Source organism: Homo sapiens, chromosome 17 (genome assembly GCF_000001405.40).
Source record: "Homo sapiens chromosome 17, GRCh38.p14 Primary Assembly".
Taxonomy (NCBI): domain Eukaryota; kingdom Metazoa; phylum Chordata; class Mammalia; order Primates; family Hominidae; genus Homo; species Homo sapiens.
The window spans coordinates 40,579,501-40,606,372 of NC_000017.11; the positions used below are offsets into that span (position 1 = coordinate 40,579,501).

The window sequence follows — 26,872 nt, forward strand, 5'->3', positions numbered from 1 at the left end:
ATCCTGGTATCGGCAGTAGCTTGAGTATCATGGCAGAGCAGAGAACATCTTGCTCCTAAGGAATGGACTCTAGGGTACCTGTTTTCACCTGCAGTGTTGTCATTTATTCATTCAACAAATATTTAGTGAACACTATGTGCCAGGCGTGGTGCTGGACTCTACAAATACAAAGATGAACACACATGGTCCCTGGCCTTGCCAAGTTTACATAAAGCACTGTGGGTGTATTACTGTGCTCCGGATGCTGTACCAAAATACCACAGGCTGAATGGCTTAAGGTCCAGCAGGGTTGGCTTCTGGTGAGGGCCCTCTTCCTGGTTTGCAGATGGCCACCTTCTCCTTCTTGCTATGCCCTCACATAGCCTTTCCTTGGTGCATGTGTGAGGGGAGAGGGAGGGTGTTCTCTGGGGTCTCTTCTTATAAGAACACATCTTATTGGATCAGAACCCCACCTTTATGCCCTCATTTAACACTAATTATATCCTTAGAGGTCCTATCTCCAACTGCAGCCATATTGGGGGTTAGGGCTTTAACATATGCATTTAGGGGGGACATAAACATTCAGTTCATAAAAATGAGGCACATGAACAAATGAAAAAGCAATTACCTGTAAGCAGTAAAAGCATAAAAACAAGCAGGAGGTAGTATACACTAAATTTAGGATGGGGAGGGAAGGGGATGCAAAGAGAGAGAGGTATGCAGGGGCTTAAACTGGTATTTGCTATATCTACTGGTAATGATTTGTCTTCATTCAAGACCTACAAAAGTCTTCATTGTATTATTCTTTACACCTTTAAGTATTAATTATTTCACAATATTTAAAAAATAATAGAAGACACTATTATTGTGCAATGTAGTAAGAGGTAACTAGGGGGGCATGCTCAACATGCTGTAGGAGCACATAGAAGGGGAATCAGGAAGGGTATAAAAAAGATGGCATCTACAGAGGAGTAGAAGGGGCCCAGGTGCAGGGGGAAGGCAGTGGTGAGTGGTCAGTAGAAGGACCAAGGCCAGGCTGGGAGTGGTGGTCCATGCCTGTAATCCCAGCATTCTGGGAGGCCAAGGTGGGAGGACTGCTTGAGCCCAGGAGTTTGAGTGTAGTCTGGGCAACATGGTGAAACCTCATCTCTCCAAAAAAATCCAAAAATTAGCCGGGTGTGGTGGCGTAGGCCTGTAGTGCCCTCTACTTGGAAGGCTGAGAGGCAGGAGGATTGCTTGAGCCTGGGAAGTCAAGACTGCAGTGAGCTGTGATCAAGCCACTGCACTCCAGCCTGGGCAACAGAGCAAGGCCCTGTCTCAAAAAAAAAAAAAAAAAAAAAAAAATTACCAAGGCCAGAAGTCTTGCCGGGCTGACCTCAGCAAGCTTACTTTCTCTGAGTTGCTTAATTTGGGAATTCAGAAGACAGGGTGAGCTATACTGTTTAACTTGGCTTTTGGGGTGATGTGGCCTGTGGGGCCAATGTCTGGCCTTTTTTGCCTGCTCAGTGGTGTGGCTGTGTTTGGCACGTGAATTATGTTTGACTTTGGCCATGTCTTTGAAGGCAATCTCTCTTTGCTGCTGTGGCATCTAGAACAGGTGGTGTTTACAGCGTTTCCCAGAATTGCCTGCTTCCTAGGACTTTACCTATCCATTTGTCCCTCTATTCATTCATCCAGCATCCATTCACTGAGCACCTACTCTGCCAGGTATTAGGCCAGGTGCTAGGGCTTGAAGGCCCATCAACCTAGTCCTGGGCCTTGAGGAGCTTGACAAGCAATGGAAAATAGCATGGGCATCCACATCTCCAAGCACATCCTTATACCTCATCTCATTTAGCCCTCGGGCTGCCCTGTGTGGCAGGTTTCCATTCTATGATTGAGGAAGCTGAGACTTGAAAGGAAAGTGACTTGATATTTGACTCTAAGCTAAGGGGCTTTTCCCACTATGCCAGGCTGCCTTTACTGATGTTGGGCATGGTCGGAAGAGCTCAGACCACGGCTGCCCCCTCTCTTCCTGGGAAAGACACCCTCAGACAGGTCTTTACATCCCATCCTGTTTTACGAAGGTTTCTGAGAATGAGCAGGGAGAAGGACCTACAAGTAACCTTTATAGTCATTCAGTCCAACCACCTCACTGATGACTTGGTTACCCAGAGGATAAAGAAAAGCTTAGCTTACCAGAAACTCCAGCCCCTGTTATTATGAAAAAGAACAGGACAAGTCTTGAGACCCCTAGAGGAGGCCTCTGATCTGGAGAGAATCGACAGAGGAGCCAGACCCAGAGTCCCCTGGAGGGAGCCAGGTCTGCAGAAGCTCAGAAACTCAGTCCTGCCTTTCTTGCATATGGAGTCCATGGTCATAGTAGCAGTGTCCTGGCTCTACCCAGAGTGTCCAATGGCTTCCTGTCCCTCTGGACTTGTCATTTAGTGGGCAAAGTCCAAGATCACACCTCTCACTCCTGCCCCCACCTCTTGCCCCTGTTTTATCTCACTTGGGAATAATCTGTTCCCATGTGAAGCCAACGAAAATGAGCCTCCACCAGTGTGGGGTAACCCAACAGGCAGATTTGGTATGGACACAGGGCCCCAGCCAGATGAAGACATCCCAAAGTTGAGAAGAGTTCAGTAATCAGAAAATCTAAAAAGATGCTCTTTTAATTTCAGCACACATGTACATTTTGTGTTGTCTGGTGAGTATTAGGAATTATATTTGGAGAGAGACTGCAATCTTTATAGGGTTCAGGGCCTTTTAAGGTCTTACTCGGACCTTGGACAACCAAGAGGGAAAGGGCCAACAGGTGTGAGGAAAATAAGTTGTGAGGCTGCAGGGAGGAAGAGGATGGCTCACCAGGATGAAGAAAAGGGAAGGAGAGGAGCTCTCAGTGGTGCAATTGGTTAGCGTGTGGCACTTACATGAAAAGGGAAGGAGGGCTTGGCACAGGCTAGCGGGAAGCCTCAGGTCACCCTGACACCTGTTGCCATGGCCCGGCGGCGGTTTCCTGACTTGTCAGGACGTGTGCACAGAGAGAACAATGGGTTTGCCTTGACAGGAAGATGCTTCCTGTTTTGCTGCATGGGTTCATTGTTGGGCATTAAGAGGGAGGGGTCTATGTGTCTGTGTTTTTCGTGTTGCCAAAAGCTCTCTGAGGGGAGAAGTGGGGGTGAGTGAGGACGGGGGTCTGAGGAAAGGTGAAAGGGAAAGGAAGGGAGCAGTTATTCTTCCAGAATTGCTCAGCCAAACCTCACGCCATTCTAGTTTCAGCCAACCAGAGAGGGTGGGGCTGGCCCTGCTGTCCTACTGTCCCCAAGAGCTCTAAGCCCAGAGCTTTTGTGCATGACTGAGGGCTGCCCAGAATCCCTCCTTTTGTTCCCCAGTGAGACCCGGTGGTGACCTTTATCTTGGCAAGGTGGCAAGGGCGACAGGAAACTTGGACTGAAATAACCTCTGTGGTGAAAGCAGGGGTGGGAAATGTTGAGGCTGGTCTCATGGCGAGTGATAAATTAGACATCCAAGATGCCCACTCCCCACCTCCAGCCTGCCCATTGCTGGGCCAACCCTGCACATTCACAACCGAAATTGTACATTTTTAAAATTTATTTTTTATTCTTTTTAAAAAATTTTCCATACGTTATTGGGGTACAGGTGATATTTGGTTACATGAGTAAGTTATTTAGTGGTGATTTGTGAGATCCTGGTGCACCCATCACCCGAGCAGTATACACTGCACCATATTTGTTGTCTTTTATCCCTTGCCCCTTCCTGCTCTTCTCCCCAAGTCCCCGAAGTCCATTGTATCATTCTTATGCCTTTGCGTCCTCATAGCTTAGCTCCCACATGTCAGTGAGAACATACAATGTTTGGTTTTCCATTCCTGAGTTACTTCACCTAGAATAATAGTCTCCAATCTCATCCAGGTCATTGCAAATGCTGTTAATTCATCTCTTTATGGCTGAGACTAATCAGATGGAATACTATTCCATTATACATATATATACTACAGTTTCTTTATCCACTCGTTGATTGATGGGCATTTGGATTGGTTCCATGATTTTGCAACTGTGAATTGTGCTGCTATAAACATGTGTGTGCAAGTATCTTTTTCGAATAATGACTTCTTTTCCTCTGGGTATACCCAGTAGTGGGATTGCTGGATCAAATGGTAGTTCTACTTTTAGTTCTTTAAGGAATCTCCACACTGTTTTCCTTAGTGGCGTACTAGTTTACATTCCTACCAGCAGTATAGAAGTGTTCCCTGATCACTGCATCTCTGTCAACATCTACTGTTTTTTGATTCTTTGATTATGGCCATTCTTGCAGGAGTAAGGTGGTATCGCATTGTGGTTTTGATTTGAATTTCCCTGATCATTAGTGATGTTGAGCATTTTTTCATGTTTGTTGGCCATTTGTATATCTTCTTTTGAGAATTGTCTATTCATGTCCTTAGCCCACTTTTTGATGGGATTGTTTGTTTTTTTCTTACTGATTTGAGTTTGTTGTAGATTCTGGATATTAGTCCTTTGTCAGATGTATAGATTGTGAAGATTTTCTCCCACTCTGTGGGTTACCTGTTTACTCTGCTGACTGTTCCTTTTGCCATGCAAAAGCTCTTTAGTTTAATTAGGTCCCAGCTATTTATCTTTGTTTTTATTGCAATTGCTTTTGGGGTTTTGGTCATGAAATCCTTGCCTAAGCCAATGTCTAAAATAGTTTTTCCAATGTTATCTTCTAGGACTTTTACAGTTTCAGGTCTTAGGTTTAAGTCCTTAATCCATCTTGAGTTGATTTTTGTATAAGGTGAGAGATGAGGATCCAATTTCATTCTCCTACATGTGGCTAGCCAATTATCCCAGCACCATTTGTTGAAAAGGGTGTCCTTTCCCCACTTTATGTTTTTGTTTGCTTTGTTGAAGACCAGTTGGCTGTAAGTATTTGGGTTTATTTCTGGGTTCTCTATTCTGTTCCATTGGTCTATGTGCCTATTTTTATACCAGTACCATGCTGTTTTGGTGACTATGGCCTTATAATATAGTTTGAAATCAGGTAGTGTGATGCCTCCAGATTTGTTCTTTTTGCTTAGCCTTGCTTTGGCTATGTGGGCTCTTTTTTGGTTCCATATGAATTTTAGAATTGTTTTTTCTAACTCTGTGAAGAATGGTGGCAGTATTTTGATGGGGATTACATTGAATTTGTAGATTGCTTTTGGCAGTGTGGTCATTTTCACAATATTGAGTCTACCTATCCATGAGCATGGCATGTGTTTCCATTTGTTTGTGTTGTCTGATTTCTTTCAGTAGTGTTTTGTAGTTTTCCTCGTAGAGGTCTTTTGACTCCTTTGTTAGGTTATTCCTAAGTATTTTATTTTTCTTGGAGCTATTGTAAAGCTATTTATTTTTCTTGGAGCTATTCTTGAGTTCTTGATTTGATCTCTGCTTGGTCATTGTTGGTGTATAGAAGAGCTACTAATTTGTGTATATTAATCTTATAATTGGAAACTTTGCTGAATTCTTTTATCAGTTCTGGAGGAGTCCTTAGGGTTTTCAAGGTAAACTATCATATCATCAGCAAACAGGGACAGTTTGACTTCCTCTTTGCTGATTTGGATGCCCTTTATTTCTTTCTCTTGTCTGATTGCTTTGGCTAGGACTTCCAGTACTATGTTGAAGAGGAGTGGTGACAGTGGGCGTCCTTATCTTGTTCCTGTTCTCAGAGGGAATGCTTTCAACTTTTCCCCATTCAGCATTATGTTGGCTGTGTGTTTGTCATAGATGGTTTTTATTACATTAAGGTATGTCCCTTGTGTGCTGATTTTGCTGAGGGTTTTAATCATAAAGCGATGCTGGATTTTGTCAAATGCTTTTTCTACATCTATTGAGATGATCATGTGATTTTTGTTTTAAATTCTGTTTATGTGGTGTACCACATTTATTGACTTGCATATGTTAAACCATCCCTGCATCCCTTGTATGAAACCCACTTGATCATGGTGGATTATCTTTTTGATAGGTTGTTGGATTCGGTTAGCTAATATTTTGTTAAGGATTTTAGCATCTGTGTTCATCAAGAATATTGGTCTTAGTTTTCTTTTGTGGTTGTGTCCTCTACTGGTTTTGGTATTAGGGTGAGGCTGGCTTCATAGAATGAATTAGAGAGGGTTCCTTCTTTCTCTATCTTGTGGAATAGTGTCAAGAGGATTGGTACCAATTCCTCTTTGAATGTCTGGTAGAATTCTGCTGTGAATCCATCTGGTCCTGGACTATTTTTTGTTGGTAATTTTTATTTATTTATTTATTTTTGAGACAGAGTCTCCCTATGTTGCCCAGGCTGGAGTGCAGTGGCATGATCTCAGCTCACTGCAAGCTCTGCCTCCTGGGTTCACGCCATTCTCCTGCCTCAGCCTCTCCGAGTAGCTGGGACTACAGGTGCCTGCCACCACGCCCAGCTAATTTTTTGTATTTTTAGTAGAGACAGGGTTTCACTGTGGTCTCGATCTCCTGACTTCATGATCTGCCCGCCTTGGCCTCCGAAAGTGCTGGGATTACAGGCATGAGCCATCACGCCTGGCCTTTGTCAGTAATTTTTAAAGTAACATTTCAATCTTGCTGCTTGTTATTGGTCTGTTCAGGGTGTCTAATTCTTCCTGATTTAAGCTAGGAAGGTTGTATTTTTCCAGGAATTTATCCATCTCTTCTAGATTTTCTAGTTTCTGTGCATAAAGGCATTTACAGTAGCCTTGAATGATCTTTTGTATTTCAGGGTGTCAGTTGTAATATCTCCTGTTTTGTTTCTCAGTGAGGTTATTTGGATTTTCTCTCTTCTTTTCTTGGTTAATCTTGCCATGGTCTATCAATTTTATTTATCTTTTCAAAGAACTAGGTTCTTGTTTCATTTATTTTTGTATTCTTTTGTTTCAATTTCATTTAGTTCTGGTCTGATCTTGGTTTTTTCCTTTCTTCTGCTGGGTTGGGGTTTGGTTTGTTCTTGTTTCTCTAGTTCCTTGAGGCATGACCTTAGATTGTCTGTTTGTGCTCTTTCAGACTTTTTGATGTAGGCGTTTGGGGCCATGAACTTTCCTCTTAGCACCGCCTTAGCCATATCCCAGAGGTTTTGATAGGTTGTATCATTATTGTCACTCAGTTCGAGGAATTTTTAAATTTCCATCTTGATTTCATTTTTCATGCAATGCTTATTCAGGAGCAGGTTATTTAATTTCCATGTATTTGCATAGTTTTGAAGGTTCCTTTTGGAGTTGACTTCCGGTTTTATTGCATTATGGTCTGAGACAGTGCTTGATACAATTTAAATTTTCTTAAATTTATTGAGGCTCATTTTATGACCTATCTTATGGTCTATCTTGGAGAAAGTTCCATGAGCTATTGAATAGAATGTGTGTTCTGTGGTTGTTGGATGAAGCATTCTGTATATATCTGTTAAGTCCATTTGTTCTAGGATATAGTTTAAATCCATTGTTTCTTTGTTGACTTTCTGTCTTGATGACTTGTCTAGTGCTGTCAGTGGAGTATTAAAGTCCCCCACTATTATTGTGTTGCTGTCTATCTCATTTCTTAGACTATTAGTAATTGTTTTATAAATTTGGGAGCTCCAGTGTTAGGTGCATATATGTTTAGAATGTGATATTTTCCTGTTGGACAAGGACTTTTACCATTATATAATATCCCTTTTTGTCTCTTTTAACTGCTGTTGCTTTAAAGTTTGTTTTGTCTGATATAAGAATAGCTACCCCTGAACACTTTTGGTGTCCATTTGTGGTCACCAGTGGTGAGAAATACCTTTTCCCACCACTTTAAGTTTATGTGAGTCCTTATGTGTTGGTGAGTCTCCTGAGGGCAGCAGATAGTTGGTTGGTGAGTTCTTATCCATTCTATGGTTCTGTATCTTTTAAGTGGAGCACTTAGGGTATTTGCATTCAATGTTAGTATTGAAATGTGAGGTACCATTGCATTCCTCATGCTCTTTGTTGCTTGCGTACTTTGTTTTCTGTTTATTTTTGCTTTTTAACTTGTATTTTTGTTTTATATGTCCTGTGTGATTTGTGCTTTAAAGAGATTCTGTTTTGATGTGTTTCCAGGATTTGTTTCAAGATGTAGAGCTTCTTTTAGCAGTTCTTGTAGTGGTGGCTTGGTAATGATGAATTCTCTTAGCATGTGTTTGTCTGACAACAACTGTATCTTTCCTTCATATATGATGCTGGGTTTTGCTGGATACAAAATTCTTGGCTGATAATTGTTTTGTTTGAGGAGGCTGAAGATAGAGTCCCAGTCCCTTCTAGCTTGTAGGATTTCTGCTGAGAAATCTGCTGTTAATCTGATAGGTTTGTTTTGTTTTGTTTTTTAATAGGTTACCTAGTGCTTCTGTCTCATAGCTCTTAAGATTCTTTCCTTTGTCTTCACTTTGGATAACCTGATGACAATGTGCCTAGGTGAAGATCTTTTTGTGATGAATTTCCCAGGTGTTCTTTGTGCTTCATGTATTTGTATGTCTAGGTCTCTAGAAGGCCAGGAAACTTTTCCTTGATTATTCCCCCAAAACATGTTTTCCAAGCTTTTAGAATTGCCTTCTTCCGCAGGAACACCGATTATTCTTAGGTTTGGTCATTTAACATAATCCCAAACTTCTTGGAGTCTTTATTCATATTTTCTTATTCTTTTTTTTTGTCTTTGTTGGATTGGGTTAATTTGAAGAACTCGTCTTCGAGCTCTGAATTTCTTTCTTCAACTTGTTCAATTCTATCGCTGAGACTTTCCAGAGCTTTTGCATTTCTAAAAGTATGTCCAAAGTTTCCTGAATTTTTGCTTGTTTTTTCTTTAAGGTGTCTATTTCCTCTAATATTTCTCCCTTCACTTCTTGTATCATTATTTGGATTTCCTTGCATTGGACTTCGCCTTTCTCTGGTCCCTTCCTGATTAGCTTAATGACTAACCTCCTGAATTCTTTTTCAGGCAAATCAGGGATTTCTTCTTGGCTTGGACCCATTGCTGGTGGACTAGTGTGATTTTTGGGGGGTGTCGATGAACCTTGTTTTGTCGCATTACTGGGGTTGGTTGTCTGGTTCCTTCTCATTTGGGTAGCCTCTATCAGAGGGAAGGTCTAGGGCTGTTGAAGGCTGTTGTTCAGATTTTTTTGTCCCACAGGGTGTTCCCTTGATGTAGTACTTTCCCCCTTTTCCTGTGGATGTGGCTTCCTGTAAGCCAAACTGCAGTGATTGTCTCTCTTCCGGGTCTAGCCACTCAGCAAGTCTACCTGGCTCTGGGCTGGTACTGGGGATTTCTGCACAGAGTCCTGTGATGTGAACTGTCTCTGGGTCTCTCAGCCGTGGATACCAGTACCTGTTCTGGTGGAGGTGGCAGGCTGTGCAATGGACTCCATGAGGGTTCTTAGCTTTGGTGGTTTAATGCTCTATTTTTGTGCTGGTTGGCCTCCTGCTAGGAGGTGGCACTTTCCAGAAAGCATCAACTGTAGTAGTGTGGAGAGGGACTGGCGGTAGGCGGGGCCCTATAACTTCCAAGATTATATGTCTTTTGTCTTCCATTAACTACCAGGGTGGACAGGGAAGAACCATTGGGTGGGGGAGAGGCTAGGCATGTCTGAGCTCAGACTCTCCTTGGGTGGGTCTTGCTGTGGCTGCTGTAGGGGATGAGGGTGACATTCCCAGGTCACTAGAGTTATGTACCTAGGAGGATTATGGCTGCCTCTGCTGAGTCATGCAGGTTGTCAGGGAAGTGGGGGAAAGCCAGCAGTCACAGGCCTCACCCAGGTCCCATGCAAACCCAAGTGCTCACTCCCACCGTGCCTCCCCCTACAGCACCGAGTCTGTTTCCAGGTGAAGGGCGAGATGGGCTTGAAAACTTGCCTGAGGCTTTTTACCTCCCAGAGTATTTGGGTTGTCTCCTGGGTCTTGCAGGAGCAGTCCGCTTCCTTCAGAGGGTTTGTGGGTCCTCTCAGGGTGGCTGGTTTGTTCTTGCAGTTGATCTGGAGCTAAAATTCACAATGCAAACCTCCACATGGCTGCTCTGTCCAGAGCTGCAATCTAGTCCTGCCTCCCATCCGCCATGATTCCCACTTGGATTGAAATTGTCCATTTTAAACATGATTAGAAAGCCCAGGTATCTTGATGCTCATTGATCCTGAGACCATCTGTTGCAGTGAAAACGTGTGTGGGGTTCCAGTCTTGGCTCTGCCAGCCAAATTTCCATGAGGCCCTTTTCTCCTGGTTCCTTATCTGGGGATTGAACCAGATGATCTTGTCTGTCCTCTCTGGTCTCACATTTGGGGATTCCATTGATCATCTCCTAGTGGGACTGTGGCCTCAGAGAAGCTTAGGTTATGCACATTTAGGAAATCCCAGTAGAGCTTTGGTCAGAAAGAAAAGATGGGTGAAAGGTGGAGTCCTGAAACCCTCCTGTTCCTCCCCATACAACTGTTTAAGGAGACCATATCTATTTCATCCTCCTCTTGTGCTTTTAATGGCATTCAAAGCCCTTCTCTATCTGGCCCAGTTGACATCACTGACCTCAATCTCTCTACTCCCCCACTGTAGCTACTTTGTGCTCCAGCCATTCCGAGTGACCTGTGGGTTCCCTAAAAGCATTGTGCACTTTCATTTTTCTGGGATTTTCCACATGCTCTTCTGTCAGGCTAAGGTGGCTCCAGCTCCTTCTCTCCCGTGTCACACTCTAACTCATTATTCAAGACCCAGCTCAAATACTCTCACCTCCTGAAGAATTCTTGAAGTCCCTGAACCCACAAATGCTGTTCACACTGCTAGGATAGCACCTCTTAGTCAAATTTGTATCATGGGCATGCATGCATTTTTCTCCCTCTATCAGCTTACCATTACGTGGCATCTTATTTATTTCTTACATATTTAACACAGTACCTGGCATATTCTTGGTGCTCAGCCAAAGAGTGCTAAGTTAAAATGAAGGATATTTCTGTTGATTTGACCCCAAACAGGCTACACTCAGAGTGCATAAAATAGTGGCCACTCTTTGAGTTGAGTTGGATCTGATAATTAATTGGTTTAGATCCAGTTAGAGGCCTTTTATGTCTGCCTGGGTTAGACAGAAACTGATAGTAAATGGAAATATTGCAAGGGGTGTAAATTTCAGCTTTTGGAAATTTGCAAGGATTTTTATATTCTACCTTCTTTATTTCTTTTTCCCTTGTGTGCTTAGGTAGGGAAAAATCATTGGCTAGGTTGATCAAGGGGATCCTCAAATTTCAGTATCAGTCTTAGCTTTCATGTAATGCTCATGAGGTCCTTGCTGTGGGGAAGTTCTCAGGCTGCGCAAGGCACCACAGCCCAGGATTCAGGGAGCTCCCAGAGTGATAGGCAGGCCACCAATGTCAACGCTCTTACATACTGTTTGAGGATTAACTGGAGCTAATACTTATTCAGCACCTACTGTATACCAGACCCTGAATCACCTCATTTAATCTCACAACAACCCTGCAAGTTAAGCAGCTGTGATGTCCATTCTACAGATAAGAAAATGGAGACTCAGAGAAGTTAAGAACTTCCCCAAAGGACGCTCATAGCTAGTTGCAGCAAACCAGGAATGGAACTCCCCCATCCATCCTCTTTCCCCCATACCACACTAGTTGATAAGCAGGAATGCAACTTCACAACCACTGAAAGCCCTGTTAAATTAAGCTTAGCCTAAATCTGCCTTCTTACATATTCTAAGTCCAGCCTAAAGGTTTCTCCATACATAGTGAACTACAACTTAACTGGATGTGTGAACAGACTGTAACCTACTCCTGTGCAAGTCACTGAGTTTTGGCCAACCAAGGTTGCCAACTGTACAGACTATGTTCAAATAAGGCAATGCTAAGATAAACAATCCTGCTGTTTCTATGCCTCACTTCCATTTTCTGTAGGTCACTTTCCATTTTCTGTCCATAAACCTTCTTCTACCCCATGGCCATGCTAGAGTCTCTCTGAGCCTACTCTGGCTCAAGAGGCTTCCTGATTTGCAAACCGTTCATTGCTCAAACTGTTAAATTTAATTTGTCTAAGGTTTTTCTTTCTTCTTCTTCTTTTTTTTTTAGATGGAGTTTCACTCTTGTTGCCCAGGCTGGAGTGCAATGGCACGACCTCAGCTCACTGCAGCCTCCGCCTCCCGGGTTCAAGTGATTCTCCTGCCTCAGCATCCCAAGTAGCTGGGATTACAGGCATATGCCACCATGCCTGGCTAATTTTTGTATTTTTAGTAGAGATGGGCTTTCACCATGTTGGCCAGGCTGGTCTCGAACTCCTGACCTCAGGTGATCCACCCGCCTCGGCCCCCCAAAGTGTTGGGATTACACTTTGAGCCACTGCGCCCGGCCAGTTTCTCTTTTAACAGATGCTGTCAGAAGTAGGATCCAAGGCCGGGCGCGGTGGCTCATGCCTGTAATCCCAGCACTTTGGGAGGCCGAAGTGGGTGGATCACTTGAGGTCAGGAGTTCGAGACCAGCTTGGCCGACATAGTGAAATCCCGTCTCTACTAAAAACACAAAAATTAGCCAGGCATGGTGGCATATGCCTGTAATCCCAGCTACTTGGGAGGTTGAGGCAGGATAATCACTTGAACCTGAGAGGCGGAGGTTGCAGTGAGCTGAGATCACGCCATTGCACTCCAGCCTGGGTGGGTAACAAGAGTGAAACCCCGTCTCAAAAAAAAAAAAAAAAGATTGAGTCTCCTCTCTTATCAAAGAGTAAAGGTTTTTGCTTTTAAAAATCTCTTATCACTTTGGCTAAATGAATGATTTTTTTTTATGGTGACCTGTGATCCTATTTTGGTCAATTGTCTGAATCTTTTGACATACTTGACAGGCTTCCTGAAAATCAAATTTCAACTTCAAAATTAAGTGGTTTGTTTTTTTTTGTTGTTTACCTGTACATTTGGAATGCTACAGAGGGCTCCTGCAGCATCCAAAAGAGAGATAAGTAAGATTACGTGATATATTAAATTACAGGAAGCACTGTCAAATAAGAAATAATGTTTAATCTTCTTCAAGTTGTATTTTTATAAATATTTTATTAATATATGTTCCAAAATTGTATGGGATTCCTAAAATTCTGATATGTCTGGATATATGCTATCAATTATAACTATGGTTATGTTACATAATTTTAGGCCACAAAAATAACCAAATGTCCTTGTCAATTGTATCTTTATGACCATTTTAAATCATTTCCACAGTTAATTCCTGCATTTAGATGCAGTTTCTGAAAACTCTTCACAAGCAAGCAAAATCCTAGAGTAATGTGTCTTCAAAGAGGTTCATACAATGATGGAAAGGACTCTGACAAGCACTCTTGAATACAGGTTTAGGATCCTATCATTTGGACTGGCTAAGAATTCCCAGAACTCTAATAAAAGGACTGACTGATTTATAAAACTGCTAACCCAAGTAGGGCAAGAATTAATTGACAACCAAAAAAATACTTTGACAGATTTTCATGCTAAAATCAGCTAGCACTAAAATTATTTAGATATATAATTTAAATGAACTCCCTGGTCCAAGTCAAATTACCCATGAAAACCATCTAATAAACAGTGCTATGCACCTAAATTGGAGAAACAAAATTGGTATTTAAGATGTAAGTCCAGTATAAGCATAGACTCATGGAGAACCTGGAAGGCTTCCTGGTCCTTCCTGAGTCCTTCAAGTTCCCATTATTAGAAGCTCTGAATTTCAAGACTTATCATAAAACAGATAAAATGATCCAAATTAAAAATATATATATATTGGTGTGGTGACTGTTATGAATTGCTAAAATAGTTTATGATCAATATTTGATTTGTCAAACCCATAATTCTTGGAAGACAATAAAAACTTCAGGTACATTTCTGTTATCTGATGGGCCATTTAAACACTTATAGGGGGATTTGGCTGGGCTCAGTGGCTCATGCTTGTAATCCCAGCACTTTGGGAGCCCAAGGAGGGCGATCACTCAAAGTCAAGATTTCGAGACCAGCCTGGCCAACATGGTGAAACCCAGTCTCTACTAAAAATACAAAAATTAGCCAGGCGTGTGATGTGTGCCTGTAAACCCAGCTACTCAGGAGGCTGAGGCAGGAGAATCACTTGAACTGGGAGGCAGAGGCTGCAGTGAGCCGAGATCATACCACTGCACTCCAGCCTGGGTGACAGAGCAAGACTCTGTCTAAACAAAACAAAACAACACAACATTTATAGAGGGATTTAATTCAATTGTCATTTTTGATACATGCTTTCTGGTTCTATAAAAGCTTTCCCATACAAGAGGGCTAATATTACAACAATAGCTAAAAGGTTATTAGGAAATGTGTTTTCCTCGTGGGACATTCCCAGAGAAATCTCCAGTGATAGAGATACTTGTTTCACTGGACAAGTTGTAATATAGTTAAATACGGTATTACATATATGACAGCATTAGGCAAAGCTAACTGAACTGACTTGATTGCTTTGGTCAAAGGTATTAGAGATTGATGACAATCAGACCCACTTCCAGTGGAAAACATAAGCTGATCCCTTATGAAATAGTCACTGAAATGCCTATGCACTAAATAATGGAAGCTCATATATCTTCTGCTACTAAACTCTGATACGACTAAATGCTGCAAGTCTTTAGTGCGTTGTGCCATGGTGTATTTTCACCGGTAAAGAAAGCGTTTCATGGTTCACTGACTAATCAAACCCTTCATGATCTAAAACCCAGAGACTGGGTCTTCTGAGAACAACATCAGAAAAAGATTGCCCTTGTTACCCACACTGCAGAAAACTTTGGGAACTTGAACCTTGTTCGTATCTCATAACTCAGAAGGGCACCTCCAGACTCTTAATTGTACAGCCACTGGAGACCTAAAGATAGAGATAACCAAGGAAGTTTCTCCCCAGAAACAGATGGCATCCCAGATATGAACAACTTTTTCCCAAGATCATGGATCAAGACTTCTCTGCTACCGTGAGACTTGTATCTCTCAGTTTTTCCTTGCTTTTGCCTTGATATGGTTTGGATCTGTGTCTCCACCCAAATCTCATGTCTAATTATAATCCCAAATTTGGAGGTGGGGCCTGGTGGGAGGTGATTGGATGGTGGGGGTGGTTTCTTAGGTTAACGTAAGAAACCCCTTGGTGGTGTCATTGCAAAAGTGAGTTCTCATGAGATCTGGTTTAAACAAAAGTGTGTGGCACCTCCCCACTCTCTCTCTCTTGCTCCTGCTCTGATGATGTAAGATGTGGCCTGCTGCCCCTTTGCCTTCTGCCATGATTGTAAATTTCCTGAGGCCTCCCCAGAAGCCCATCGGAGGCCAGCATTATGCTTTCTGTACAGCTTGCAGAACTGTGAGCCAGTTAAACCCCTTTTCTTTATAAATTACCCAGTCTCAGGTATTTCTTTATAGCGGTGCGAGAATGGACTAATACAGGCCTCTATGAAAAATAGAACTGAAAATAAGGTCTCTTTTGTACACTCATGGAGTATACTTTTATTAGTGGAGGATTTCGAAGCAAACCTTTTATATGGACACCCTTACGTCTTGACAGATGAAGGATAAAGGGCCAATGTGGATGAAAAATTTTATTGGTATCTTTGTTGCTTCATAATCACTCAGAAACAGAACACTGGTCCACTCCTCTTAACCTATGTCATAGGTTAAAACATTGCCAAGAGGCCTTCACTCTTCTAGATAGGCATCATTTATTAGATCTTTTTTTCTTGGTTTAGAGTAAATGAGGCAATGATTAAAAATTTATCCCTCATAATAGGCTAGATAACAGATTCTACTACAGAGACTCTGGTTACACAACAGATTTTAAATTCTCTTGCTAAAGTTGCACTAACTAATAGAATTGCTCTGGTTTACTTACTGGCTAAACAAAGTAGTGTCTGCAGTTGCTGACACATCTAATTACACACGGAGGAATACATAGGGTATTATAGAGACTCAGTTGTAGGGGATTAATGGACAGGCTGCTTGGTTGAAATGAGTAAACTCTTTATCGAGTTTATTGTTTGATCTATTTGATTTTAGTTGGTTTGGTTCATGCGGAACCTGGATACAGAGCATACTCCAAACTCCTGGTGTTATCCTTCTGATAGTCATAATTGTAATCTCCCTGGTGTGCTGTATTCTCTCAAAAGTTCTAAATGTTTGTACGTAGCCATCTCCAGAATGTCAGATGGTCTCTCCTAGATTGGAATGACAATAACTCAAAGAATTGTGTGGCCATAAGGACACCGTAACCTATGAACTATGTGCTGAGACTGAAAACCCAAAATGATGGTAAGCGAGAGTGGAGCTCATGGCCTAAGTTTTGGTCACACTCTCACCTAAGTGAGAACCTGACCAGAAGGGGGAAAATTTTAAACAAAATTATAGGAGGCAATTGTTTTGGACTGAGATTGTGCATTAGACCCCAGCAGACCAGACCAAACCAAAACAGAGTCACTCAAATGTGACATGATCGATCTGAAACTTTAAGAAAACAGACCAAAAGTTTTGCTTTTCTCTTAAAAACAGGAGACTGCAGTACAAAGAGGTCCCTGCTACTCTAATCCTTAAAAAAAAAATAACCTGAAGTCCTTGTTTCCACCTCACAAACCCACTGTTCTGCTATTTCCCAATGGGATTTAGGACCAAATAGGTACCTTTATCATGGTGACAGAGTGACATCAGTGCCTAAAGTTTTGGTCTATCTCTCAAAATTAAGAGGATGACCAAAAGGGGGGAATTATCAAATTAAGTTTAGCTTAAAGCTGCTTCCTTACATATTCTAAGTTCTGTCTAAAGGTTTCTCCTACACTGTAAACTGCAACCTAACTGGATGTGTAAACAGACTGTAACCTACTATTGTGCCACTCATTGAATTTCAGCCAGTCAAGGGCAGTCAACTGTTCAAAGCGTGTTTAAATAAGGCAAATGCCAACTATAACCAATCCAGCCGTTTCTGTACCTCACTTCCTTTTTCTGTCTGTAAATCTCCCACCAAGTGGCTGTGCTAGTGTCTCTCTGAGCCTACTGTGGCTCAGGCGAATACCTGACTCACACATTGGTTTTTGCTCCACTAAATTCTGTTAAATTTAATTTGCCTAAGGTTTTTCTTTTAAAAGCCCCAAAGTTAAATGCCTCTGTTGTCTGCACACCAGCAAAATAGAAGCCTCATGCAGCCCTCGTGTCAATACAGTACTCATTTGTGAATTAGCAGTTACCTGAGTGCTTCTGATTGGTGGAGGGTAGGTCACATGAATCAATTCCTACATGACTGCTTCTGATTGGTGGAGAGTAGGTCACATGAATCGGCACCTACATGACTGCTTCTGACTGCTGGAGGGTAGGTCACATGAATCAATGCCTACATGAGTGCTTCTGATTGGTGGAGGGTAGGTCACATGCCTGTGTCCTAACTGCAGGGGATACCGGGAGTTTGAGTTCTTGACTTCTATTTCGGGAGGCAGGACAATAATAAAGGAATTTCCTCCAGAAAGAAAAGCTGTCCGTAAGATGATGAGCCGCCATCATGAATGTGACAGGTGTCCATTACACTGACTCACCCTGAATGTCACACCATAGGAAGTGAAGTTAGATGTCCGAACACATTCCCCTTTTAAAATCCTGCTCCTTTCTTAAAATATGGTTTAGAGCAAAGAGTTTTTATTACATAGTTTTTTGAGGTATAATTTTACACGCAGTAAAAATTACCCATTCTAGCGTACAGGTCTAGAATTTTTTAAAAAATAAATTCATACAATTATGTACTACCACCAACAACATACGGTATATAATAGTTTCATCACACACCACTGTTCCCTCACGTGTCTTTGTAGCCAACCCCTTCCTCTACCCTCAGCTCCTCACAACCACTGAACTGGTTTCTGTCTGTAGTTTTTGGAACAAAGACTTTCTAAGCAAAGAACAAAAATGGAGCAGAAGAGAGTCTGTGTGTAAATACCAATGTATGCATGTTGGAATCTCCCCCTCCTTGGCTCCTGTCCTGGGGGTGAAGAAAGATAAAGATTATTGAAAACAAATTGAAATGATCAAAAGTATAATTTCTTTTCAATGTCAGATTTAGGGCTTAACTCAGGAAGATGGATGAGCTCACTATTGTGGCTCCGGCTCACTGCATGAATTCCTGTTTAGAGTGATAGGTAAATAGCACCTGAACAAATGCAGCCTGCCCTCAGATTCAGGTGGAGGAACCCACACCTTAGAGGTCTTTCTCTGGCCTTCCTCAGACGGTACCCTTGTCAGGTGAAGGACTGGTCCATGTCCCCCCTTCTATGTCACACTCCAGGTCTCAGGACCCAGTATTCCCGGCCCAAAGAGTCCTCAGCCACTTTCAGGCTTGCATGGGCCTCTTCCCAGGGAAAATCCTCCACAGGGTAGACTGCACAGCTTGGTATGCACCCCTAGACTCTGTTGATGACCACGTCCTGGCTGTTTATGGTGGCTGTAGATGACGCTTAGGTATCCAGGCTGGGGAGTAGAGAAGGGGAGCTGAGGGGAGAGTCTGAGAGTTCTCGAAGGAGTCTGAGAATTCTAAATTTAAACATGACCCTTTAGGTCGTTATGAAAATGTATAGTTTCATTATGAAATGGAACCTATTTTATAAGTCTGTTAGCTCTATTTATAATGTAACTATCTGGGCAGGTAGTGCGTAGGCCTCTGTTTGTACTCTTGCCTGGGCCCTGCAAATATTTGAGACAGGCCGAAATGAATCTAACTGTGCTTCCTCAGAGAGTTACCAAAGCTCTCTGCAGGCCAGGCTCCCTGGTGGCAGCCCTGAACCCCTTTCCTGAGGATGTGGGAGAGGAAAAGAGGGAGACATTTCTTGGATGTCTGCTATGTGCTGGAATCTGACCTGGGCTGTTTCCCTCACATCATCTCATTTGGGTCTCCCAGCTACTTGCCAGATAGGTATGTCATTGCCAATGTATAGATGAAGAAATGGAGGCCTAGCAGCATTTAAGAGCCTTAAGTGCCCAAGCTGGGATTCCAGCGCAGATCTGCGTGGCTTCAAGTCTGGCCGTCTTCCATGCTGCCATTAGAGTTCTGTCCACCTTGGCTCTCCTCCCCGACAGGATTCCCAGAGGGCCCGAAGTCAGTTACTTAAATGGGTTGAAATCAGACATGTACTATGCTTTGGGGAGAAACGAAACCAAACCATAAATTTCCCGAACCTTCTCTGGTTGGCCCTGTTTTTGTTCCAAAGCAGAAAAGGGCAAAGTACAGGAGGGGGCTGGGGCAGAGAGAGTGCAAACACATGGGTACAGAAGGCACGTGATAATTCGCTGTGGAAGCAAGAGAGCGGGTGGGTGCGGACGTGGGTGGGAGTGAGGGCTGAGACCAAGAAGTTTGGCTTTTGAGTCAGTCCTGGTTTTAAATCTAGGTCCCACCACTTACAAATTGTTCAACTTAGACCAAGTTGCTTAACTACATAGAATCTCGGTTTCACTATCTTCAAAAGATAATTGATAATAGGGTTTCTTCTAAGAGTCTTTGTAAGGAGGAAACGAAATCGCATCAGTAAGGCCCCAGCCCGCAGCAGGTTCTCGACAACATTCATTCCCTTCCACCCTCTCCTTCCTCCTATTGACAGAGTTGCTTCAGCCCATTTTGGCATTCTGTAGATTTCTACAGCTGAGAAATCCAAAAATAAACTTGAATTATGGTGGGTTTAGCACCGAGGCACTTCTGTGTAAATAGCAGAAGTGAAAAGAAAAAAAAGGCCATCTCATTTCTAGTATTTGAAACCAAGCACCCTCATCGTGTGGGCGACTCATAGTAGAGGGGGCAGGGGGAGCGAGGTTTGGCATTTTTTCTCTGCTGTTTTTGTTTTTGTTCTGTGATGATGTGGGGGACTCTCCAGGGACATCATGCGTCACAGAGCAGGGGAGAAAGGGGAGGTGAAGACAGAGCAAGTAGGGAAATTTGATCCGGTCTCTGACGTTGTAGGGCAGAATTGGGGAAAGAGGGAGTGTCGGTCAATGGGTGGAAAAGGTCCCGTGGCTGTCATGCCCTTCTTACCTCCTGCCCCGAGACACAGTTGGGCAAGTCCCTTAATTCATTTTTCAGTGAGTTTCCCAAGAAAGGCCGTCTTCCGGAACATGTGTTATTCCTGAAATACATGGCAGACTCGGTTGAAAGGGTGTGTGTTTGTGGGTCACAGAGACTCACAAAAAGAGAAGGCAAGGGGCTGGCCCGCTTGACGTGAGCCCACATGGATGGGAGTCACAGGTGATTATTATTATTATTAACAAAAGGCTTCCCTTACCTCCCCAAACCTAACTTTTCACTATTCATACCATCCATGTCTTATAGGCCCAGGGAGATGAAAAAGTGAGTTTACCCAAGGGAATTCACAAGGGCCTAAGTAGAAGAGCCAGGATTTGAACTGGCTGCCCCTTTCTCTCTATGGGGCTGGCATTGGCCATCCTAATAATGGGGGAAAAGTTGGGTTAACGACCAGCGGCCTGGGGAATTCAGGTCACCTTGATGTTTGCCCTATGGTCTTGAGTTTTGCAACTTAAAAAAACAAAAAACAAAAAACTATACACACACACACACACACACACACATTATCTATCTACCTCTATTTTTTTAAGACAAGGTCTTGCTTTGTCACCTAGGCTGGAGTGCAGTGGCACGAGCACAGCTCACTGCAGCCCTGACTTCCCATGTTCAATTGATCCTCCCACCTCAGCCTCCCAAGTAGCTGGGACTACCAGCACATGCCACCACACCTGGCTAATTTTTTTATTTTTTGTAGAGGCAGGGTTTCATTATATTGCCCAGGCTGGTAAATGGACATATTGACATTACAAGTCGATGTTGTTTTTATAGAAGGAGCAAATAATGCAAAAGGGACCAACTCATCAGTGAAAACATATCATACCATGCTTGGTGTTTGCCTTGGCTAGAAGTCTCTGGAGGTGAATTTATGGAGAATGCATTCAAGCTGCCTCCCATTCCCACTATATAGATAACGAGAGGAAGGGGTTTAAGCTGCAATAGGAGGCTGTTGGAGAGACTCAAGGAGAAGCTTCCTGACCGTAGACGGTTGATAAATATAGGAGCCACTGGAGGGTGGAAGCAATAACTTTCCAATCCCCCGAGCCTTCCAGCATTTTTTGGTGTTTGCCAAATATCATCACCTCCTACCTCTCACCAGCGCCTGGACTCAACCTTTCTAGAGCCAGCTCAAATGCCACCCCTTCAGACTTCCCAGCATTGCTGTGAGGAATCGTGGGCTTTTCTTTCCTGCTCCCAGTGTGACTTTGGTACCTTTATTTAGCATCTATATTGTCCTCCCTTGACTTAAAGCCAAGTTGTTAATTCTCCCCTTTCTTGAGTTCTTAGAGGGCAGGGATGCATTCCATTCATCTTTATCACCAACACCTAAGGTGACACCTGGCACATAGTCAGTGCTCGTTAAAGGTGTGCTGAACTTTGAAACGAAGGGTTGCCTGTTGGTGGTTGAAAACATTTTTTTTTCGAACCTTGTTAAGTTTGAAAAGTTCAATCCCCAGTGCCAACATGCATATAAATATAGGTGCTTTCATGCTCTGTTGATGGGAATGTGAACTGGTTCAACTTTTCTGGAGAGTCATTTGGTAAACATTTAGGAGAAGTCTTAGAATTTTCTATGCCTTTTGACTGAATTCTTTTTTTTTTCTTTTCTCCTAAGGAGTTAGTGAATGGCTTTTCATAAAGACATTGTATTTTTTCATAGCAATGTTTTTAAAAATTATAGCAAAAATGGGGCCAATATTAATATGAATTTGGATAAATAGTGGTTTATATGCAATAGAATGTCATGTAGCCATTACAATTGATGATATATTTGTTAATCAAATAAGTAAAGTGACAAAAACATTACAAAATAGGAAGCATAGTAGGATTTCAATTTTGAAGGAAAATAAGGCTCTATCCATGGAAAAATGCCTTGAAGGATATACGTCTAAGTGTTTCAACCCTTTTTCTCTAGGTGGTGGGATTTTAGGGGATTTTGACTTTCTTCTGTTCATTTCTCTGAGTTTTCTCAATTTTCTCCCATGTGTTACAACGAACATGCATTACATTTAGAACATAGAAAAACATTTTCCAGCATCTTGAGTTGATTCTCTAAGTAAATTCCTTGCTCCTTAAATTCTGAAAACTGTAGAGACCAGATCAACGTGTAGGATGTCAGAGGTGGAAAAGCTGTGGGAAGTCCTTTGGGCCAGAGTTTTGCAAAACTGGCTGTGCGTGAGAATCACACGTGGGGCTTTCAGAACTCTGGCTCTGCCCATACCCAGTGGCAATAAATCAAAGTCACCAGGGATGGCTGCAGGCGTCAGAGTGGTTTAAAGCTCCCAGGTGATTCTAATATGCAGCCTAGTTTGAGAACCCTGCTTTTGAGTTGTGCTGTCTAACAGTAGCCACTAGCCACACGTGGCTATTTAAATTATGCAACACTAAATAAAAAATTCAGTTCCTTAGTCAAAGTAGCCACTTTTTTCTTTCTTTTTTTTCTTTTTTTTTTCTTGAGACAGAGTGTCACTCTGTCACTCAGGCTGGAGTGCAATGGTGCGATCTTGGCTCACTGCAACCTCTGTCTCCCGGGTTCAAACAATTCTCCTGCCTCAGCCTCCCAAGTAGCTGGGACTACAGGCACCCGCCACCATGCTCGCAAAGTAGCCACATTTTAAGCACTCAGTAGTCACATGTGTGGTTAGTGGCACTATATTGGGCAGTGCAAGTTAAGATCTACCTCTCACATTTCAGGAGAGGGCTGGGCATGGTGGCTCATGCCTGCAGTCCCATCACTTTGGGAGGCTGAGGCAGGAGGGTTGCTTGAGCACAGGCATTTGAGACCAGCCTGAGCAACATGGTGAGACCCCTATCTCTACAAAAAAAAAAAAAAATTAGTCAGGCATGGTGGCACGCACCTGTAGTCCCAGCTACTTGGTAGGCTAGGGTGAGAGGATCGCTTGAGCTGGGGAGGTCAGGGCCGTAGTGAACCATGATCATGCCGCTTGCGCTTCAGCCTGGGCAACCAAGTGAGATTCTGTTTCAAAAAAATTTTTTTCTTTTTTTTTCAGGAAAGGCTTTTGCAGGTGGGTGCCCTCCTTCTAGCAGGCCTGAGGCTCAGGGAAGGGGCAGGCCTCTGTTCTTGCCTGTTTTAGGGCGGTGGAAAAGACCTCACTCGGCCGTCAGGAGAGTAATCTTGTGCCTAGAAAGTTCTTTCTGCTTTCTCGTGTCTACCCCATCCTCCTCCCTGAGCATGGTGAAGCTCAGTGCAGCATGTTTATTTTCAAAGGCTTGACAGGCCCAGGCCCTTCCTATCTGTTCAGCCTGGTCCAGGCCACCAGGCAAGCTGTTTACAAGGGATCCAAGTGCTCGGTGGAGAGCAGAACAGGCCGAGAGTGTTTTCCACGGCTGCCGAGAAAGATGAGCGAGTGGAGGCAGAATAACAAAAAGCCACTTCAAAAACACACCAGAAAAAGTCACAAAGCAGAGACAATCAGAGGTTTGAGACACACACACCCCCAAAACCCTGACAAGAGAGCGAAAACAAGTCATGAGGGAGCCTCTGATGGTTTCAAGACAGTCGCGGTTGCTGATTGAGAACAGGCCTGTCCCAGCAGTTCTCAGAGGAGTCGGGAGCTGCGGCTGTGGGGGGTCAGAAACTTCACCTGAGTTCTGAGAATTGTGGTGGGACAGTCCCTGAGGGCTCCGTCTCTCTGGGAAGATGGTGGGGGGCGGGTGAGAATGGCAGGCCCATGCTGGCTGGGTGAGAGTGTGAGGCTGTTCCAGCCTAGAGACTGGCCACCGGTCAGGAAGCAGAGTCCCACCTGGCCCCAGGCTTCTGGCACCTACTGCCTGAGAGCGTGAGGCCTCTATGGCCATAGTCCACCTGGGAATTCAAAGGCGTAAGGCCACCTGCATCTAGGAAGCTCCTTCTTTGGGATCTGAGCTGAGGACCCAACAGTGAAGAAGCCAAGCCAGAAGGGAAACGCTGGTGCTCCGCTCCACCTTGCCCCATTTTGCAGTGAAGTCCAGTGAAGAGAGCCCTGGGGGTGGAGCACTGGAGCTCAGGTCCCAGGCACTATCACTCCCTTGCTGTGTGACCTTGGGCAGGTCAGTTTACCCCTTTGGACTTTAGTTTCTTGACCTGCAAATTGGAGGGTTGGTCTAGATGAATGGCTTTCAACCCTGGCTGAATATTGGAATCACCTGGTGAGCTACAAAAATCAACATGATGCCAGTTGTTCTGGGATACACCCTGGGCATCAGCATTTTTAAAAGCTCTTCAGATGATCCCAGGCCAGGTGTGGTGGCTCACGCCTGTAATCCCAGCATTTTGGGAGGCTGAGGCGGGCGGATCATCTGAGGTCAGTTCGAGACCAGCCTGGCCAACATGGTGAAACCCTGTCTCTACTAAAAATACTAAAATTAGCCGGGTTTGGTGGCATATGCCTGTGCACGAGAATCACTTGAACCCAGGAAGCAGAGGTTGCAGTGAGCGGAGACCGTGCCACTGCACTCCAGCCTGGGTGACAGAGTGAGACCCCGTCTCAAAAAACAAAACAAAACAAAAAAAGAACCATTAGTCTGCCTAATGCTTATCAAAATTTAGAGTGCACAGGAGTCTTGTAAAAATTCGAGTGGAATTCAGAAAGTCTAGCATAGAGTCTGAGATTCCACATTTCCAACAAGCTCCCAGGCGATGTCCATGGACCACACCTTGAGTAGCAGCAAGTCTGTGTTGAATGTCCCCTTCCCTTGAACTTGCAAGTTGGATCCAAGCTCCAATCTACTCAGTCTGCTACTGTTCTTGTTTTGGTAGCTGGCTGTAGTTGCCTATTTCTGCCAATCTGCCAATAACATCATTGTTTCTAAGTTCTTTCTTTCCCCCCACCCTCTCTCACAAGAATTGTTTAAATCCTCACTCATCATTTGAATTCTAATGAGATGCTGTGGATTGAATCAAATAGGGATCTTCCCTTCAAGGGCAGTAAATAAGAGACAGAGCCAGGCTGTGATGTGAGTTCAAAATGGGGCAGAGGTCATTTTTAGCTGAGAGGATTGGAAGGGATCTACGTGGCTGATAATAACAGTGTACCACTGTCCAAGTGCTTTGTACTAGTTGTCTCATTTTATCCTCAAAACAACCCTACAGGTAAGCACTGGGAACGTTCCCCAGTTTACACACGAGGAAGCTAAAGCTTAAAGAGAAGCAGAGGTTTTTTGAAGGGGGCATAGCAAGCAAGGTGCAGCGCTGTAGCTTGAACTCAGGTGCCTGTGCTGACTTTTAGTCCACTTAGGGCATGGGTGGTATTTAAGCTGCATGCCTGACTAGACCCAACCAGACCCGATCAGACTCAGCCTTTTAGCACCAAGTCGTTTGGGCTAGGATGCGGTTTGTATGAGTTTAGTCTACCCCTCACTCACCTTCCATACCCCGACAGCCAGAAAAAGACAGGTGGTAACAGTTTCCACCTCTGGTTTCTGGGCCCAGACCTCCAGGCCTGTACACAGAGCCTGGGGCCTGGACTCACACTTTTCCCCAGTTGGCTGCCTGTCCCAGCATGGGTCTCTGCTGCCTACATCTTTGTCTGTTTGTATCATTTTATTTCCTTGGCGGGGAGCAGGCTGTGTGTCCAGGCTTTTGTAGGCTTGTCCCTTCTTAGGCACATAACCCCAAATAGTGCTTCATAGAAGGTTGCCCGAAACTACCATGATGACTGCAGATCCTAAACTCCTCAGATTCTGCTGGGTTCTTAGCTAAAATGGTATCCAACAGCCCAGCCCCATGGTTTTTCCAAGTTGACGAAACCCAGCTTGTCTCACCTTTTGATATCAGGGTTACAGGGTTGGGGTGGAGGTGAAGGGTGAGAAGGATCGGAGACCTCTGTGTTCCCCCACTAGAACTTGAGTTCCTAGAGACACGAACTTTGTCTTCTCATTTTTGAACTCCCAGTGAAGAATACAGTGCTGGGCAGAGAGATGTGTCACCGCCTTGTCAGACGAGTGCATGACAGAGACTTGGGTGCATTTTCTTTGTGCGTGGGGTGAATGGCAGTGTTGGTAGTGTGTTTGGCTTGGCTCTCACACAGGAGATTCACCTGCTATAGGTTTCAGCTTGTAGGCCCCGGAACCCTGTGGGTGCAGCTACTGGGAAATCTGTCTTTCACCACATCTTTTTGGGTTCTGTAGCTGCTCAGGAAGATGAGGTTTTCTTATATAGCCCCAGCCCCTGGAGATGCTGGGTGAGTTGTAGAATGCCAACTTCGAGAGCATTAAGAGAGACCCTGTAATGATTAGGCAGCCCTGGGATTGTAGAATGGGGAACCCATGGAAGGAGGAGACCCCCCCACTTTCTTACCTTTCAGAGAAGGGAATCATCTTATTGTAGCAGAAGTTTCTTAAAATTTTGCTTGGACATCTAACCTTGAAAACTGAGGTTAAGAAAGTGAAGGGCTTAGTCCATAGAAGGAATTTTCCTCTGCATGTAGTTTTTCTCCTATCACTACAAAAAAATATGAAGAAAAGAAACCAAATTCGTACCAAGGTGCTAAATGTGCCCTAGAATGTAAAGCAACTTTGCATTGGTCAACCGGACCCAGTCAGGGAAATATTTCCATTTATTCAACTTGTGTACCTAAGAGAGGTTTTTTTTTTCTTTTTTGAGACAGGGTCTCTCTCTGCTGGCCAGGCTGGAGTACAGTGTCACAGTCATGGGTCACTGCAGCCTCAATTTCCCAGGCTCAAGTGATCTTCCCATCTCAGCCTCCCTAGTAGCAGGGACTACAGGTGTGCACCAGCACACCTGGCTAATTTTTGTGTTTGTAGTAGAGATGGGGTTTCACCACATTGCCTAGGCTGGTCTCAAACTCCTGGGCCCAAGCAATCCATC

General features: G+C 43.7%; 8 annotated features.

Annotated features, from left to right (window-relative positions):
* Positions 2,724–2,863: an enhancer, noted in NCBI's record as "active region_12155". NCBI's record gives its function as "activates an Ori minimal core promoter by ATAC-STARR-seq in GM12878 lymphoblastoid cells {active_cell/tissue: GM12878}" and the evidence as "EXISTENCE:reporter gene assay evidence [ECO:0000049][PMID:35858748]".
* Positions 2,884–3,133: an enhancer, noted in NCBI's record as "active region_12156". NCBI's record gives its function as "activates an Ori minimal core promoter by ATAC-STARR-seq in GM12878 lymphoblastoid cells {active_cell/tissue: GM12878}" and the evidence as "EXISTENCE:reporter gene assay evidence [ECO:0000049][PMID:35858748]".
* Positions 2,892–3,037: a silencer, noted in NCBI's record as "fragment chr17:38738644-38738789 (GRCh37/hg19 assembly coordinates)". NCBI's record gives its function as "represses an EF-1alpha promoter that drives an FKBP-Casp9 reporter gene in an ReSE screen in phorbol 12-myristate 13-acetate-treated (for megakaryocytic differentiation) K562 erythroleukemia cells {active_cell/tissue: K562(+PMA)}" and the evidence as "EXISTENCE:reporter gene assay evidence [ECO:0000049][PMID:32094911]".
* Positions 9,122–10,321: an enhancer, noted in NCBI's record as "MED14-independent group 3 enhancer chr17:38744874-38746073 (GRCh37/hg19 assembly coordinates)". NCBI's record gives its function as "activates an origin of replication core promoter dependent on BRD2, BRD4, P300/CBP and CDK7 cofactors, and independent of MED14, by STARR-seq in HCT116 cells {active_cell/tissue: HCT116}" and the evidence as "EXISTENCE:reporter gene assay evidence [ECO:0000049][PMID:35650434]".
* Positions 18,461–18,670: an enhancer, noted in NCBI's record as "active region_12157". NCBI's record gives its function as "activates an Ori minimal core promoter by ATAC-STARR-seq in GM12878 lymphoblastoid cells {active_cell/tissue: GM12878}" and the evidence as "EXISTENCE:reporter gene assay evidence [ECO:0000049][PMID:35858748]".
* Positions 19,097–19,391: an enhancer, noted in NCBI's record as "tiled region #2180; HepG2 Activating DNase matched - State 4:PromP". NCBI's record gives its function as "activates a minimal TATA promoter and a strong SV40 promoter by Sharpr-MPRA in HepG2 cells {active_cell/tissue: HepG2}" and the evidence as "EXISTENCE:reporter gene assay evidence [ECO:0000049][PMID:27701403]".
* Positions 19,599–19,898: an enhancer, noted in NCBI's record as "active region_12158". NCBI's record gives its function as "activates an Ori minimal core promoter by ATAC-STARR-seq in GM12878 lymphoblastoid cells {active_cell/tissue: GM12878}" and the evidence as "EXISTENCE:reporter gene assay evidence [ECO:0000049][PMID:35858748]".
* Positions 23,237–23,496: an enhancer, noted in NCBI's record as "active region_12159". NCBI's record gives its function as "activates an Ori minimal core promoter by ATAC-STARR-seq in GM12878 lymphoblastoid cells {active_cell/tissue: GM12878}" and the evidence as "EXISTENCE:reporter gene assay evidence [ECO:0000049][PMID:35858748]".